The following is a 15471-nucleotide window of genomic DNA, read 5'->3' as shown; positions in this document are numbered from 1 at the left end:
GGCTAATTTTTTGTATTTTTCTTAGTAGATACGGGGTTTTGCTATGTTGTCCAGGCTGGTCGTGAACTCCGGAGCTCAAGCAATCCGCCCACCTTGGCCTCCCAAAGTGCTAGGATTACAGGCATGAGCCACCGCACCCAGCCAATGGCAACTGTTCTTTAAAGTGAAAGTAAATGGATGTACGCCTACCTACTTAAATATTTCTTCAAATGAGAAAGATTAACAGTGAACTCACCTTCAGAATCTCTTCAACACAATGGACTTCATTGGAGTAGGTCTGCTGAAAGTGAAAAGCAAAAAATAAAAGGTTAGCAAACCAGAGTCAAGAGTGATGGTACTGGTGGATGACTGTATTAATGCAGCAATACTCATCTCAAGGCTTACCTTCTACTAGCTAAGTATTAAGAACTTTACATTTGAAGCCTGGGCAACATGGCAAAACCCCATTTCTACCAAAAGCAATATAAAAATTAGCCATGCATGGTGGTGCATGCCTGTGATCCCAGCTACTCAGGAGGTAGAGGCAGGAGGATCACATGAGCCAGGGAGGTGGAGGCTGCAGTGAGCCAAGATCATGCCACTGCACTCTGGCTGTATATATATAAAACAACAACAACTTTACATTTGGATGAAATAAGACCAGAGAGATTAATCTAACTGAATCTTGTGGGGAAACACAGTAATGATGGAGACAATGGCAGACTAACTGTTGACCCTCAGGTTAAAAGTTTCTAAAATTTCTTTATTAAAGAAAATTAGTATATTAGTAAACCTAGGGAATAAGAGATGTACAAAATAAGATTAGAATAGGTGCCACAGTCAGCTACCTCATAGCAACAGCTAACCAATAAGCCACATTAAATGAAGACAAAGATGATGATCATCTGAACACATTAGTGGGTCGAAAGTAAGGAGCTAAGTCCAATCAAGGATAACTCTTCATTATTTTTATATGCTAGCCTGCCAAAATTCATTTTAAAGTTAAAAATATCTCACTTAAAGTCAGCATTTCACTTTATACATACATGCATATATACATACACAGACGCACACAAAGTTTTTTTCAGAGAAAGACTGTAAGGGTAGAGGAGATTAATTATTGTCTTAGAGGAAAGATCTACTATTTCTACCTCTTCCTAATACCCAGCTAAACAAATAATGATTATTGCTGCTGCTGGTATCACCACCAGACAGTGCCTAGGGAATGACATTTTACAGTCTACATATTTTTAAGAGCAAAGAAAGTAGGCAAAGTTAAATTAAAATCAATTATTTTTTCTGAACTAGAGACATGGAACATATGGTTTTCAATGGAATAGCAACTTGCTCTGTGTCAATTCATGAGCCAGGCATCATGGGCACAGTACAGCAAGTACTATACAACATATGACTTTCCCATTACTGCCACTGCTATGCATAAAACTCTGCTCTTTTTGGTCCATTTAATACCTACCTCGCAGCTAGAGAACAGATGGCAAGGGGTTCTTTCCTGTTCTTGGTTCTAATTTATGTGTAATTTAATATAGAACTGGTTGCTAATTTGCAATCTAGGGTTTATTAATCTACCATTTCCCTCATTCCAATTCACTCCATGGATGAAGAAAAAGGAAATAGAGCATACAAACATTCACACCGTCCTGTAATTGAATCTAATGTCAAAATTCAGATGTAGGCCAGGTGTGCTGGCTCACACCTGTAATCCCAGCACTTTGGGAGGCCGAGGCGGGCAGATTGCCTGAGCCCAGGAGTCTGAGAGCAGCCTGGGCATCATGGCAAAACCCCATCTCTACCAAAAATACAAAAATTAGCCAGTCTCGTAACCCAGTTTCAAAACAGACAAAAATTTAAAAATAAAATTTAAAAATTAAAAAAAAATTCAGATGCAGTCTGTTTTTAAAACATGTAAATTTCCTGGAAAGAGTCTTGAAGTCAGGTATAACCAAAGAGAATCAAGGGTGTCCCTTACATCTGGCAGGATCCACTGGAATCATCTCTAGCATTACACATGCAAACAACCAGGCCTTTTTGTTTTTAAAACCATTAAGAAACACCTAAAAACTGGACCAAACATTTGTGCTCTATTTTAGCACAAACTTAAGATACAGAAATGCTGTTTTTACATGAGGGTAAATGTAATACTATTCTACGATTTCAATTTACATGGATCATTAGAAAAATAACAATTAAAAGTCGAAGGTGAATCAATAGAACAAGCACATGACTGTGCTGAGTCTGGAAAAAATATTCCCCTCATCCTACGTGTTGCTGGAATGAGACTAGGAATCCAATCAAAATATTTGGCAACCATTAAAAATAGTGAAGCACATTTTAAAAGAAGGCAGAAAAGATTTGTCCGTTGTTTCCAACACAGTGATTTCAAAAAGCCACACCCTTCAAGAGACTGAAAGACTTCTTTCTGATCTCCATAATTACTCAAGCAGTAGACACTTTGCCAAGATGTTTCATGTCGCCGAAATGTTTTTTTTCCCCAAGAGTTTTGTTATGTTGGATGAACCAGGACTGAAGAAATTTTGAGAGCTTATTTTAGATTAGCAACATTGACCTTATCCAGATACTAATAGTCACCATTTAACCCATTTAAAATTCTAAATAAGGTCTTAGATTCAAGCATTAGTTGGTTAATTTACTGTTAATCTTCCTGTCAAGTCCATTATGGGAGTGAAGGTGTTTCAAAGGGGAACAGTGATTTCATTCCAAATATATGAGGGCATATCATATTTAGGGATCTCCACAAAGCACTGTTTCCCATGGCAAATAATTGGAAATGAGCAAATGGCAAACAACATGCATCTAGCTAACTGCCTTTACAGTGCATCCGTACAATGGTATGGCATGCAGATTTAATAACATAAACATAGGTGTTTGCATGGAAAGATGTTCAACATACATACTTTTTTCTTTAAAAATCATTTCATACGGCCGGGCGCAGTGGCTCACGCCTGTAATCCCAGCACTTTGGGAGGCTGAGGCAGGTGGATCAGGAGGTCAAGAGATAAGAGACCATCCTGGCTAACACGGTGAAACCCCATCTCTACTAAAAATACAAAAAATTAGCCAGGCGTGGTGGCGGATGCCTGTAGTCCCAGCTACTAGGGAGGCTGAGGCAGGAGAGTCGTGTGAACCTGGGAGGCGGAGCTTGCAGTGAGCAGAGATTGGGCCACTGTAGTCCAGCCTGGGAGACCGAGTGAGACTCTGTCTCAAAAAAAAAAAAAAAAAAAAAAAAAAATTCATTTCATTAGAGAAAAACTACAAAAGCCAGTAGGAGGATTTCCCACATACCTTTTACCCAGATTTCCCAAATGTTAGCATTTTACATTTGCTTTATATTTTTCTCTTCTGCTCACCTACATTTTGAACTGTTTAAGAGTAAGTTAGAGAGTTAATGTCCCTTTATCCCTAAATACTTTTGTGTATACCAAAACACATTGTAAACCTACATTTAAAAGAGAGGCTACTGAAAAGTTTGCATAGTATGAGATCATTTTATGTTCCATCTACCTGAGACTCACATCTTCACTCTTCTCGCCACCCTAATTAGAGACACTTAAACTACAAGACAGATCTTTTGGATTTGTTTACAGGGAAAGATCTACAAGGACAGGCTGCCTCGTCTCATAAAGTGCAACTTGGCACCTCCAAGCATGCCACTGGAAGGAGGTTTTCCAAAAGGGGAGCAGTTAAACCGTTACATCCTAATCCCCTAATCCCCTTCTTTTACAGAGATGGGGTCTTGCTATGGTGCCCAGGCTGGCCTGGGCTCAAGTCATCCTCCTACCTCAGCCTTCAGAGAGTAGCTGGAACTACAGGTGTGTGACACTGCACCTGGCTCTTAACCCCTTTCCTAAAATCCACTCTCCCAATAGGGTCTCCAGCCAAATACTGCTACTCCTACTAAAAGGAGCCAGACTCTCCCTTTAACACCATGGTCAAAGAATAAACAATTGGTCCTGGCCAGCTCTCTCTAAGCCACAACTGAGATAAGGCTGAAGACATTCAATGTACAACGTCCTTAAAGAACACAAAATGACAAAAAGCAACAATAAACATTTCTATGATAGTTGCATGAATCAAGAAAATCTAGTTTGTAAGTCCTTCTCTGGCTAGCTCTTTCCTCAATGGTATAGACACTGACTTTAACATGACCACAAAACACTGCCTTTTCCCACCCTTGATATCTATTAATAGGTTCCTAGAGGGCACGAGCTCTCCCCTTCTGCCTATCTAGAGCCATCTCACACATCTGGCTTCCTGTATGTAGACCAACCTCCCAGCAGAGACCACACTTTCCTCCTGGGATATGGCCTTAACAAGCAGCCATATTTAATTTTTAAAAAAATGATAGCAGCTACTTATTGAATGCATTTTGTACTTCACGTTGCATTAAACTCTTTCTATGTTATTATCACCTCAATTTGGTACCATCAATTGTACGACGCACCATTATTAGCTTGGGAGGTAGGGGGACTACACTAAATGTACCCATCAACTGTAAGATACATCCCTATTACATAAACTTAAAAATGCCTGAGGGAATTCTGTATAAAGCTCTATTTAATTCTCACATCAACCTTTGTGGTAGGTATTATGCCAGTTTTTAAAACGAGGAGACATGCTTTTGGAGTCCACGATGAGGTATTTACAAATAAAATAATTTTAAAAATAAAACGAGGAGACTGAATCCTAGAGAAATTAAGTTGTCTATGCAAGGACACACAAAAGCTCTGAAGCAGCTGAGCTGGCTCAGAATACTGTTATACCAGTTTTCTAAAAACCTCAACACTGCTGCAAGAAACAAATATATTAGCATTTTAGGAGGGTGTGTGATTCCAGTTGTCCTATGCATAACCTAAAACATTTTTTCAAGAGCTACGTTTTTCCTTTGCTTCTACAAAGAAGCATTTTGGTATTCACATTTAACTGCCTCTTCCTACTACCAGTGCTTCGGACCAGAAAAGGCAGCAATGCTGGCCGTGGCCTGATTTCTCACTCCTCCTGGAATGACATTGTGTAACTGTAAGGAAACGCACTGATACCAAAATAAAATATGTGAGTGAATGTCTTCTAAGCATGACAGTTTGTTTTAATAAGCTAAAAAGAGCTGGCTGAAGAAACATGCCACTGAGACTGGGAGGCTCTTGCAATATTGTGTTTTAAGTCTCTCAAGTTTCAACAGAGCGGCATTTTTATAACAATGCTATTCTCAAAAAGGCTTACTTATCACTAACCAGGAAATAGAGAGAGCACAAAGGCAATGTGCTGACGAGGGAAGCCAAAAGATCTTGGATTCTAGATCTGGCTCTGCTGAAGACTGGCGCTGAATCTTGGATAAGATTCATCCTCTTTGGGACTATTTCCTCATTGTGAGAAGGTATAGTATTACCAAACCTAACCACTTCTCAGGGTTGGTATGAAGGTCAAATATGTTTTCATATTAAAACATATCTAATAAAACACACTTTCAAAACCATCAAAAGGCACTGATATATGGAATAACAGGCGGTGCCAACATTATCAAGGCATTCTTTAACAGCATGACAGCTTAAAAAAAAAATCCCAATAGGTTATCTATCCAAAGTTTAATTTTTAAGAGAGTAAAATAAATGTCCAAGCTATTTTTCTTCAAATGTGTCACCACCTTTTGGATTACTGTTCAGTCTTCACTATTTGCTGCTCATCTACCCCCAACTCGCTAGTTAGATAAGTCACACTTTTCTTGCCCCGATCTGGAGCCCTCTTCTCTCTTCCATCTGTGTCAGGGATAATTCCTACTAAAGCTTCAGGTTGCAGATGAAAGACATCTTTTGGAAAACATCCCTGATGCTCCCTTACTCCCAAAACTGTCCAGGTTCTCTTGCAGATGCTCCCGTAACTATCCGTACATTCTCTGTTATTGCATCCTCTCTACTCCCTCTAGATAATATGTTCCATGGAAGTTAGGGCCAGAACCCTCACTGAATCACAGGGTGCCAGCCACACAGAGGCAACCCCATAAACAATGGCTGGCATGTTTTCAGTCCCGGAACTCAGAATTTGAAACTAAGTTTCTCTTATGGCTTTAGACACTTAAGAAGATGCAGGCTGCCTGAATTATAAAGCAACACCTTAATTAACAAACTAAACTACATGTAAATAAACATAAAAGAGACAAAAAGATAATTGTTTTGCATTGTTTTCTCCCTGGAAACATTACAACTACTGAGAAACTACTTTTCACACGTAGATTGGCAAACAGCCACAAGATTAACAATACTCCATCTATGAGATAGACATGGGGAAATAGGCACTCAAATCCCATGATTGGTAGGAGGATTAAGTGCTACAACCTTTAAGGACATTAATTTGGCAATAGTCAGCAAATTCTAATTACACAGACACTTCTCTAACCTTTAGCACTGCCTCCTACATGTACAAAAAAAATATGTACAAAGTTATTCACTTCAGCCTAGTTTGCAAATAGCAAGATACTGGAAACAATCTAAATGTGTATCTACAGGTAACTGACTATGAAAACTATGGTACATGCCACCTAGAAAGAAATAAATGCTACGCAACTACAACAAAGAATAAGGATGCTCTTTTTGCATTGATTTGGGGTAATCTCCAAGATACATTGTTTAGAAGAATAAATTTTTAAAAAAAGATGCATTATATGCCAGCATTTCTATAAATGAAGAAAGTATCAATGAGAAGAAAACATATATATGGAGTTGCTTACTATGCATAAAATACCACTGGGAATGATACACAAGAAAGTCCTAACATCAATTACTTCCAGAAAGGAAGGCTGGGGAATGGAGGCTGGGGGAAGGAATAGGGGGAAGATTTTCAATGTATATCCTTTTTTTAACCTTTTAAATTCTGACCTATTACCTATTCATTACTAAAAACACAAATATTAGATTGAAATAAATAGGGATCAAAAGCCTGTTCTCGAAGTACAGCTAAATTTTCTATTAGCCTTCCTCTATGTAACTTACCTTACTCTGAACACACACCTATGTTAAACTGTCCCCAGCTTACACCTTGGTGCTCTGGGCACACCCTACGTAATACACGCCACACTGAATTTTTGTAAAAAAAACAAAACAAAACAGATTTCCAGTCAGCCTTCCCTAATGGAACTCGAGTTGCCACAGGACTTGCTCTGAAGGCCTGGCCCAGTGTTCACTTGCTAAACTTCACGAACTTTCCAAACTAGACTAGAAAGTTATTGAAAGAGAAGTTTTTTATTCTCGCTCTCCTTTTTGTTAGTCATACTTACATAGTGAGAAGACACATTTGAAATGAACATAATCTTACAGGGTTGTTTTGAGGAAGAAATAAGACAATGCATGTTAAAACTAATTCCATACAAATAAATACATGCATTTATATGAAGACACCATAATCATCATTTCTAAGAGACAGATTAGAGGAGGAGACTAAAAGGCCTGGCTGAACAAGGTTTGTCATAAAATTGTGTTCTATAGACACAGAGTAAATTACATAAATAGCTAAGCCTGTTCCAAGAACATGCTCATACTGCCTGGGTGTGCCTACTTCAGCTGGAAAACGTTCAAAGGGACCAGCAGTAATTCTACTTTCAGAAGCATCATGCCCTATGGGCAACTACCCATCTATCTGTATACCCAGAATTTTAGGATAAACATTTTTTTAAATCACTGGACAGATATATGAGCACAGTTATAGTCCAAATTAAAACAAGGAAAACAACAACAAAAAACAGCCATGCTAAAGATTAATATGGATGGAGGGGTGATGGATTACAAAACAAGGAATAAGGTGCTCTGAACAGCTTTCCTAAAAATAAAGTATTATTACATTAAGTTGCAAAACCAACTTTAACTGTTAAATCCTCCCTTAAGAATTATTAGCTACACTTCATCTAATCCCAGATATCTTTAAATAATGGAAAGGTTTTGGATATTCCTTAAAAGTGATAAGCTCTAATATGTAGCAAAAAATTACTTTCATGTTCCCTGACTCTTTTTAACGTCAAACTGCCTGCCACATGTGAAGACTAACACAAATGAGGCTAACTGCAGAATCTCCCTAACTGCAGAATCTCTATAGTTCTCTAAACAGATTTTTCAGGGAGAGGAGAAATAAGGTGGATAAAAAAGATTATTTTAAAATAATGAGGAATCTCTAGGTCACCTACAGTTATCTCCCAACAAAAATTTATTATGAAACGAACAAGGAATTCTACTCCTATTGGGGGAACCTAGAAGAAGGGGGTAGTGCATCACAACCACTGGCTGCCCTTTTCTGGAAGTCTTCCCTCCCTTGACTCTCCAATCACATTCAACTCTGGATTGTAACCCTTAGTGTTCTAATCTTTCTCCTCCAGACAGGCTTCCCACAAGCAGGAACTAGGGTTTAGTAATCTCTGCATTCCTCACAAGGCCTTAGCATAATTCTAGACTCATTTAATATTTATAAAATGAATACTCGATTTTGTCATGTCATGACATCTCAAACAAAATTCAGATACATAAGATAACCAAAAAGTAATTAGAGTTTTATGGTGAATTTCCAATCTCTTTCCTGGGAAGCAATATATGTCAGCTCATATTGGTAAAACTCCAGACAACTTCACAGAACAGTGATATTTTTAAGATGCAGAAGTCTTCAAATTTTAAAGAAGTATTATCTTGTGACTATAATCCATCAACCACTACCACCTAATCAGATGTTTTCACCTATAAGAGTAGTTGCCTAAATGCAGTTTGGGGACATAAATTTCTCAGAATGCAAAATTTCAGATATGACAGTAACATCAGAACGTCAGGTTGGGGAGGGTAGGTATATCAGGCAGCATGTTTGGGTAAAGAAAGGATGTACGTACGCTTCCTTGAGATAGAAGATGAAGAAATAATACTCCAGGATAAACACTGGAAGATCATGTTAGAGATGTGCTGGCACCCCAGTTCATTTAATAAATGAGAGCCTAATATATCGTGTAGATAGGAGATATATATATAACATATTGAATACGTGTGTATATATGTGTACATATAAGTGAATATATGCACACATATTTATATATTTGATTTTTTTAAATTTACCTTTAGGTAAATTGCTCTTTCATAAGCAAATGATATTACCTTATCTTTCATCAACTAAAGCAAAAACAAGCTAAAAAAACCCACTAAATCCTAAGACATCACTGAAACTTATAAAACCCAATGGGAAGAAGTATTTTAAAATAGCAGTTCTTTAAAGATTAATATGAATAATTAGAAAACTTATTGTTTCTTTCCAGTTGGTCATTTTGATTATACCAGTGAGGTAATCTGCATAATTGGCATCATAAAGATATTTTTCTAAAGCATATAAAATTTGTAGAGGCTCAATCTGCATTAACTGAGCTACTTAAAACATTCTGGAAATTTTGTTTTGATCTCTACAAAGAGGGCCTCTTTTAATTATGAAACCAAGGATTCCAGTTCTTAAGACCCGGCTTAAATAAAAATGAAAACAATGAGTGGTTGTTGTCCACATGTATAATTGTAAACACTCACTTGATAAGAATATGCAAATAATGAGAGAAGCAGTAACAATGCTGGATTCACTGATTTTGTTACCATTATATATCCTGAGATCACATACAATATAATTTTTGATGTTTGCAAGGTCCTGTATAGTCACATGAAACAGTACATATAAAAGGTACAATTCAGTGTTGATGTTTTATACGCAGAAATGTTTTCAGTACATATTATGACAATATGTCAACTAACAGTGCAAAAGTTAAAATAAGTAGGGTGTGCTGGGATAGGTTTAAACTCACTTAACAACAAAGTACCTGAATGAAAAACAAATGTAAAAAACTTACCACTGTTTGACAGTAAATGTCTAATCTCAGTTATTCACCAACTTCCTAACTATTGACTATGAACCATTACCATTCACCACGTAATAAGGGGAATCAGAATCCCCAATGGTCTAAGACTTTAAAACACTGTGCCTTTGATGAAAGACCACATGAGGCCCCATGAAGCCCATTGTGGGCACAGCAGCCATGAATGATTAAGTAAGAATGGTTAAAAGGCACTGATTTTTTTTTTTTTAAAGGCATCACAAAGAACAAGTCTAGACACTGGTTCCATTCCAGCAATAGTCAACTGACAAGTCCTTTCAAATGGCCTAAGCTATATGATCTATTTCCCCTTCTACAACCAATTCTGCTCACGAAAACCTCAGAGTGTTTTTCGGAAGAATTTAATTTTTTTTTTTTCAGTGGGACTATCAATTTGCAAAGCATGAGTAGTAGCTTTTCAGTTAAAACCTATTGCTGCAGGGAGGGTGTGAAACTGCAGCGTGGTGGTGTTCTGTCACATGCTTCCTGCCCTGCACCCACCCCATCCAGTCCTACACACACATGCACACACGCACGTGCACACACACACGAGCACTCTACTCTGTCTCTCAAATCGTATTAACGGATGGTTCTGAGTCAAAACACTATTAAATTACTTTGTCAACCATGACAGGATTTATGGATACATAAACCTGTATTTCTGCTCTCTGTCAAATGAAAGTGCAAACAATGTTCAGGAAGCATGTTTAATTCTATGTTGCAGAGAGTGCCTGCCTGGACATTTACTTTTTTCACAGCTGAGCATAAGCTAAGATTATAGAAGCACCAGAAAAAGGAAGAAGAAAAAAACAACTTTGTATCAGTTTCTGGATGAGGCCGAAAGAAACTGCAGTCATATGAGTCAGATAAACTATTTAATCCACGCTTTGTCTGAAAGGACATAAAGATTTTATCCTGGGCTTATTCCAGCAGTAATCTCAACAGCCTCTTCTGGAGTAGGTGTTGGTTTTCTGTCTCCTGGCATCGTTATTTAAAAACAAAACACAAAAAAAACGGGGGAAAAAAGGACAGAAAATTATTGAAGTGGTAGGCTAGAGGCATATATACTCTGAGGAAGCAATCTGAGCCCCAAACACCCTGGGGATTACTGACACTATAACAAACGCAAAAGAGAGAAGGCAAATAAAGACGACCTTGTCCTTGACATCTTAATTCTGAACAAGTAAATCCTCCGCCCCCGCTTTTTTTTTTTTTTTTTTTTTTTTTTTTTTTTTTGGCTTTAATGCTGGGTAATGAGCAATCAGGTTAATTACTAGGGTCTAGAAAAAGGGCTCAAGGTCATCCTGGGAATGTACAATTCATTTAATATCAGAACATCATGAACAGTTATACATCATTTATTTAAGCCTATCAAAAAGTGCCTAATTTAAGGAAGTATTTTGCTTTTCTATAACCTATCAATAAACAGATTTGGTCTTTTTTTTTTTTTAAGGCTTACTAATCCCACTGAATCTTAGATAGACTTAATTATCTTTTCCTGCGTTATCTCTGCATATAAATTTGGTCTAAAACTATACACAAACTACATCAGACTTCCAGCAAGACTCATCTGATACACTGATTTACTGATCTGGTGAAAGCGAAAATATATTTAATACAAAAGTTTGAAAATAAGACTCCATCATTCGACAAACGCCAGTATTTCTTTTTAAATAAACACAAGAGGCTGGGTACACTGGCTCACGCCTGTAATCCCAGCACCTTGGAAGACCGAGGGCAGGCAGATCACTTGAGGTCAGTAGTTTGTGACCAGCCTGGCCAACATGGTGAAATCCCATCTCTACTAAAAATACAAAAAAAATCAGCCAGGCGTGGTGGTGGGTGGTGCAAGCGTGTAATCCCAGCTACTGGGGAGGCTGAAGCAGGAGAATTGCTGAACCTAGGAGGCGGAGGCTGCCGTGAGCTGAGATCGTGCCACTGCACTCCAGCCTGAGAGACAGAGCAAAACTCCATCTCAAAAATATAAATATAAAAATAAATAATAAATAAATACAAGGGGCAGACTAGATATATAAAAGTTATTCTTGAATTTATTTTAAATAGGTATTTAATAAGTGCCAAGGAGAAAATCGTTTAAAAAATAAATGTCCTCTTAATGCCTTCTGAATTTAAATTTTTTTTTTTTTTTTTTTTGAGACGGAGTCTCGCTCTGTTGCCCAGGCTGGAGTGCAGTGGTGTGATCTTGGCTCACTGCAAGCTCCGCCTCCCGGGTTCACGCCATTCTCCTGCCTCAGACTCCTGAGTAGCTGGGACTACAGGCGCCCGCCACCAGGCCCAGCTAATTTTTTGTATTTTTAGTAGAGACGGGTCTTCACCGTGTTAGCCAGGATGGTCTAGATCTCCTGACTTCGTGATCCGCCCACCTCGGCCTCCCAAAGTGCTGGGATTACAGGCGTGAGCCACCACGCCCAGCCCTGAATTTAAAATCTTCTAAGCATTCATATTATTTTCTCTCCATCTCAATTTATTTCTCTCATCGTCTGCCTCTGACTTCACACACCGACACACACACACAACCAAGAAGTTTAAAAGATTCCCGTTGGCCTTTAATCCAGAGCTCCTGACCCGAAACTCCAATCTTTTCAGTGTTTTGAGGCACAATCTAACTTAACCACATCATAACCCCCAATATTCTTGCATTCACTATCTTTCCTGATTCTTCCCTTTCCCTCCATACTTTTCTATATAGAATACAGAACCTAAGTGACAGAGAAGAGATCATATGGAAAAAAGGCAACCGTTCTAATAGTAACAACAAAAGCAACTCCCTTTGGAAATTGCCTTTAGAAAATGGAGGGTCAACCAGCACAAGTAGATGATATCTAGGTTGTACATAAACCCAACTGTGGCCCTCCTGACTACTTCATCCACCTGGCACACAGCCCATGGGAGAACAATCCTGGAGCCACCGCACTGCTTTCCTGGCATCATAATCATGGTGACAGCTTGGGGGTGGGGAAGGAAGTGTATTATTAAAAAAAATTTAAAGGTCTTTCAACTTGAATTTCTTTAACTGGCATACAGCAATATCCTCCATAAAAATGAGCAGTGTTATTTCTACAGCCACAGCAACACTGTCTACCAGGCTGCGCTGGCATGAACACCACAGTAAACGAGCCTGAAAAGACTGAAGACAGGCCCCTGAGCAGATCAGTTTTATCTGTTTTATTATCTCTTCTAGGTAAATCTTTAAAAGCCATCTCAATGTCCAACAGTTGTTTCCTTAATAAATAATTTACCAAAAGCTTCTTGTGGAATAAAATACACCAGTTTTTTTTCCTACACTAACCTAGAACCCTGTATTTAAAAAAAAAAAAAAAAAGACTGGTAGGGAAATTAAAAGTCACTGGAAAACTACTACCTCCTAAGTCTGGTGGTAACAGGTCCTCCAATTCATTTTATAACATAGTTCTTACTAAAAACAGCCAAAAAGGTATAACTAGCCTACATTCAAATCAATCAAAGAAAAAATTGGGGGTTCTTCTTCCTTTCTCACTGCTTTTTCGCCAGTTTCTCAGTTGTCTTGGCGTTGACTTAAGCGGACTCACTATAGCTAACCTTAAACAATTCCTGTCTCCTGGGGAGTAAAAAGTGGAAACACTATCGTCCTCGCCTATTAGCTTTTCATCACATAAATTTACACCCCCTACAAATATAGACAGATCACAAACTATGCTGAATAAATTAATGAGAACCATAAAGCTAGAAGTACACTGAAATTTCTCTAGTACACCTGTCTGTATTGAAGGAAAATTATTTTGAAATTTTCCTAGACTGGTGAAAATTAATACTGTTTATATGTTAAAACTTGGGTAGAAGCACCCACCATCTTTTAAATTTGACTTAAATTGTAAGTTTCTTATGAGAAACAACAAATAACATCTTGGATGGAGTGTGCATGCACATGCATAAATGCATACGCACACATACATCATATTTAGGCTGAGAAGCTGCCAATATTTTCAGTTTTTAGCTTTACTTCAGGAAGATTTTTAAAAGCCATAAACATTTGCTAAGTGATCCAGAAATTCAAGTCCAGAGTTTGAAAGATGAAGAAAAGGCTGAGCATGGTGGCTCACGCCTGTAATCCCAGCATTTTGGGAGGCCGAGGCAGGTGGATCACAAGGTCAGGAGTTCGAGACCAGCCTGGTCAACATGGTGAAACCCAGTCTCTACTAAAAATACAAAAATTAGGTCTGGGTGCAGTGGCTCACGCCTCTACTCCCAGCACTTCGGGAGGCCGAGACAGGTGGATCACAAGGTCAGGAGATTGAGACTAGCCTCGCCAACATGGTGAAACCCCGTTTCTACTAAAAATACAAAAATTAGCGTGGTGTGGTGGCGCAGGCCTGTAATCCCAGCTACTCAGGAGGCTGACGCAGGACAATCACTTGAACCCGGGAGGCAGGGGTTGCAGTGAGCTGAGATCCTGCCACTGCACTCCAGCCTGGTGACTAAGCGAGACTCCATCTCAAAACAAAAATAAAAACAAAACCAACAACAAAAAATTAGTCAGGCGTTGTGGCACACGCCTGTAATCCCAGCTACTCAGGAGGCTGAGGCAGGAGAATTGCTTGAACAGGGTTGGGGGAAAAGGTTGCAGTGAGCTGAGATCCCACACTATACTCCAGCCTGGGCAACAGAGTGAGACTCCGTCTCAAAAAAAAAAAAAAAAAAAATCCTGAGTGATAAGGAATACCTTATTTAATACTTATGTTTTGAATTTCTTTCAAATATATTGCCAAGAATATGCTGTGATTTTCTCCAGATACAAAACTCCAAGTTATATTTTCTCTACTGTCACTCTCACCATTATTTCAGTAAAATGAAAGAAAGGAGGGGAAGGAGAAGAGAAAAAAGGAAGGGAGGAAGTGGGGGGAAAGGGAAGGGAAAGGAGGGAGAGATGATAGGAGAGGGAGAGAGGAGAGAGAGGAGAGGGAAAGGGGAGAGAAAGAGGAGGGGAGAGAAAGAGGAGGGGAGAGGAGAGAAAAGATGGAGAGAGGAAAGAGAAAGCAAGGAAGAGAGACGAGAGGGAGGGAGGAAGAGGATAGGGAGAGAGAGGGAGAAGGGGAGAGGGAGGGAGGGAGAGACAGAAAAGAGAGGAGATGGGGACAGAAGGAGAGGGAGGGAGAGAATGAATCCATAATCTAAACTAACAACCATGCAAATCTCAAGAGGTATTCCAAGCCTCTAGTGGTAGCCAAAAAAAAAAAAAAAAAAAAAAGAGGCCACACACACCACGCCACCTGTCTATTACCTATCAAGTTTATACAGAGGGAGGGGACATGGGAAGGGACGAATACCTATGGCTGGCAAGCTTATTTACCTTGTTTATAAGGTCATGCACTAAACCACAGAGGTCATTTTGATCCTTCTCTTCTTCCATGTTAGCCCCTAACACAGGGGGGCAAAAGAAAAGAAGAGAAGGGGGAAGAGAAACAAGACACATCAACTTTCTCTTGTGGCCTCACCTCTCACTTATTTCCCTACCCTCCATCCTCCCCACCTGAACCTCCAGCTGCTGCATACTTACTGTGGGGCAGCTGTACACTGTGGGGCACTCACCT

General features: G+C 39.0%; 1 protein-coding gene and 1 long non-coding RNA gene across 14 annotated transcripts in view, besides 2 other annotated features; both read right to left on the bottom strand.

Annotated features, from left to right (window-relative positions):
* Positions 1-15471, bottom strand: part of AFF1 (ALF transcription elongation factor 1) — a 206029-nt gene that overhangs the window by 56640 nt on the left and 133918 nt on the right. For 9 of the 13 annotated variants that reach the window (XM_005263007.4, NM_001166693.3, XM_017008215.3 and 6 more), the window contains one exon: positions 236-280. In XM_005263007.4, the coding sequence (XP_005263064.1) occupies positions 236-280 (45 nt within the window). The remainder of the gene's footprint in view (positions 1-235; positions 281-15471) is intronic. The other 4 variants (XM_047415702.1, XM_005263009.5, XM_047415703.1 and 1 more) reach the window with 1 other exon arrangement.
* Positions 8570-15463, bottom strand: LOC105377320 (uncharacterized). The gene is made up of 2 exons (XR_938956.2): positions 15231-15463; positions 8570-10861 (listed from the first exon to the last, which is right to left on the bottom strand). It is a non-coding gene; the product is annotated as an uncharacterized LOC105377320 (long non-coding RNA).
* Positions 10540-10589: an enhancer, noted in NCBI's record as "active region_21704". NCBI's record gives its function as "activates an Ori minimal core promoter by ATAC-STARR-seq in GM12878 lymphoblastoid cells {active_cell/tissue: GM12878}" and the evidence as "EXISTENCE:reporter gene assay evidence [ECO:0000049][PMID:35858748]".
* Positions 10610-10799: an enhancer, noted in NCBI's record as "active region_21703". NCBI's record gives its function as "activates an Ori minimal core promoter by ATAC-STARR-seq in GM12878 lymphoblastoid cells {active_cell/tissue: GM12878}" and the evidence as "EXISTENCE:reporter gene assay evidence [ECO:0000049][PMID:35858748]".

Source organism: Homo sapiens, chromosome 4, assembly GCF_000001405.40.
Source record: "Homo sapiens chromosome 4, GRCh38.p14 Primary Assembly".
NCBI lineage: Eukaryota > Metazoa > Chordata > Mammalia > Primates > Hominidae > Homo > Homo sapiens.
Note: the sequence above shows the minus strand (reverse complement) of the source record. Positions and strands in the feature narration are given on the sequence as shown.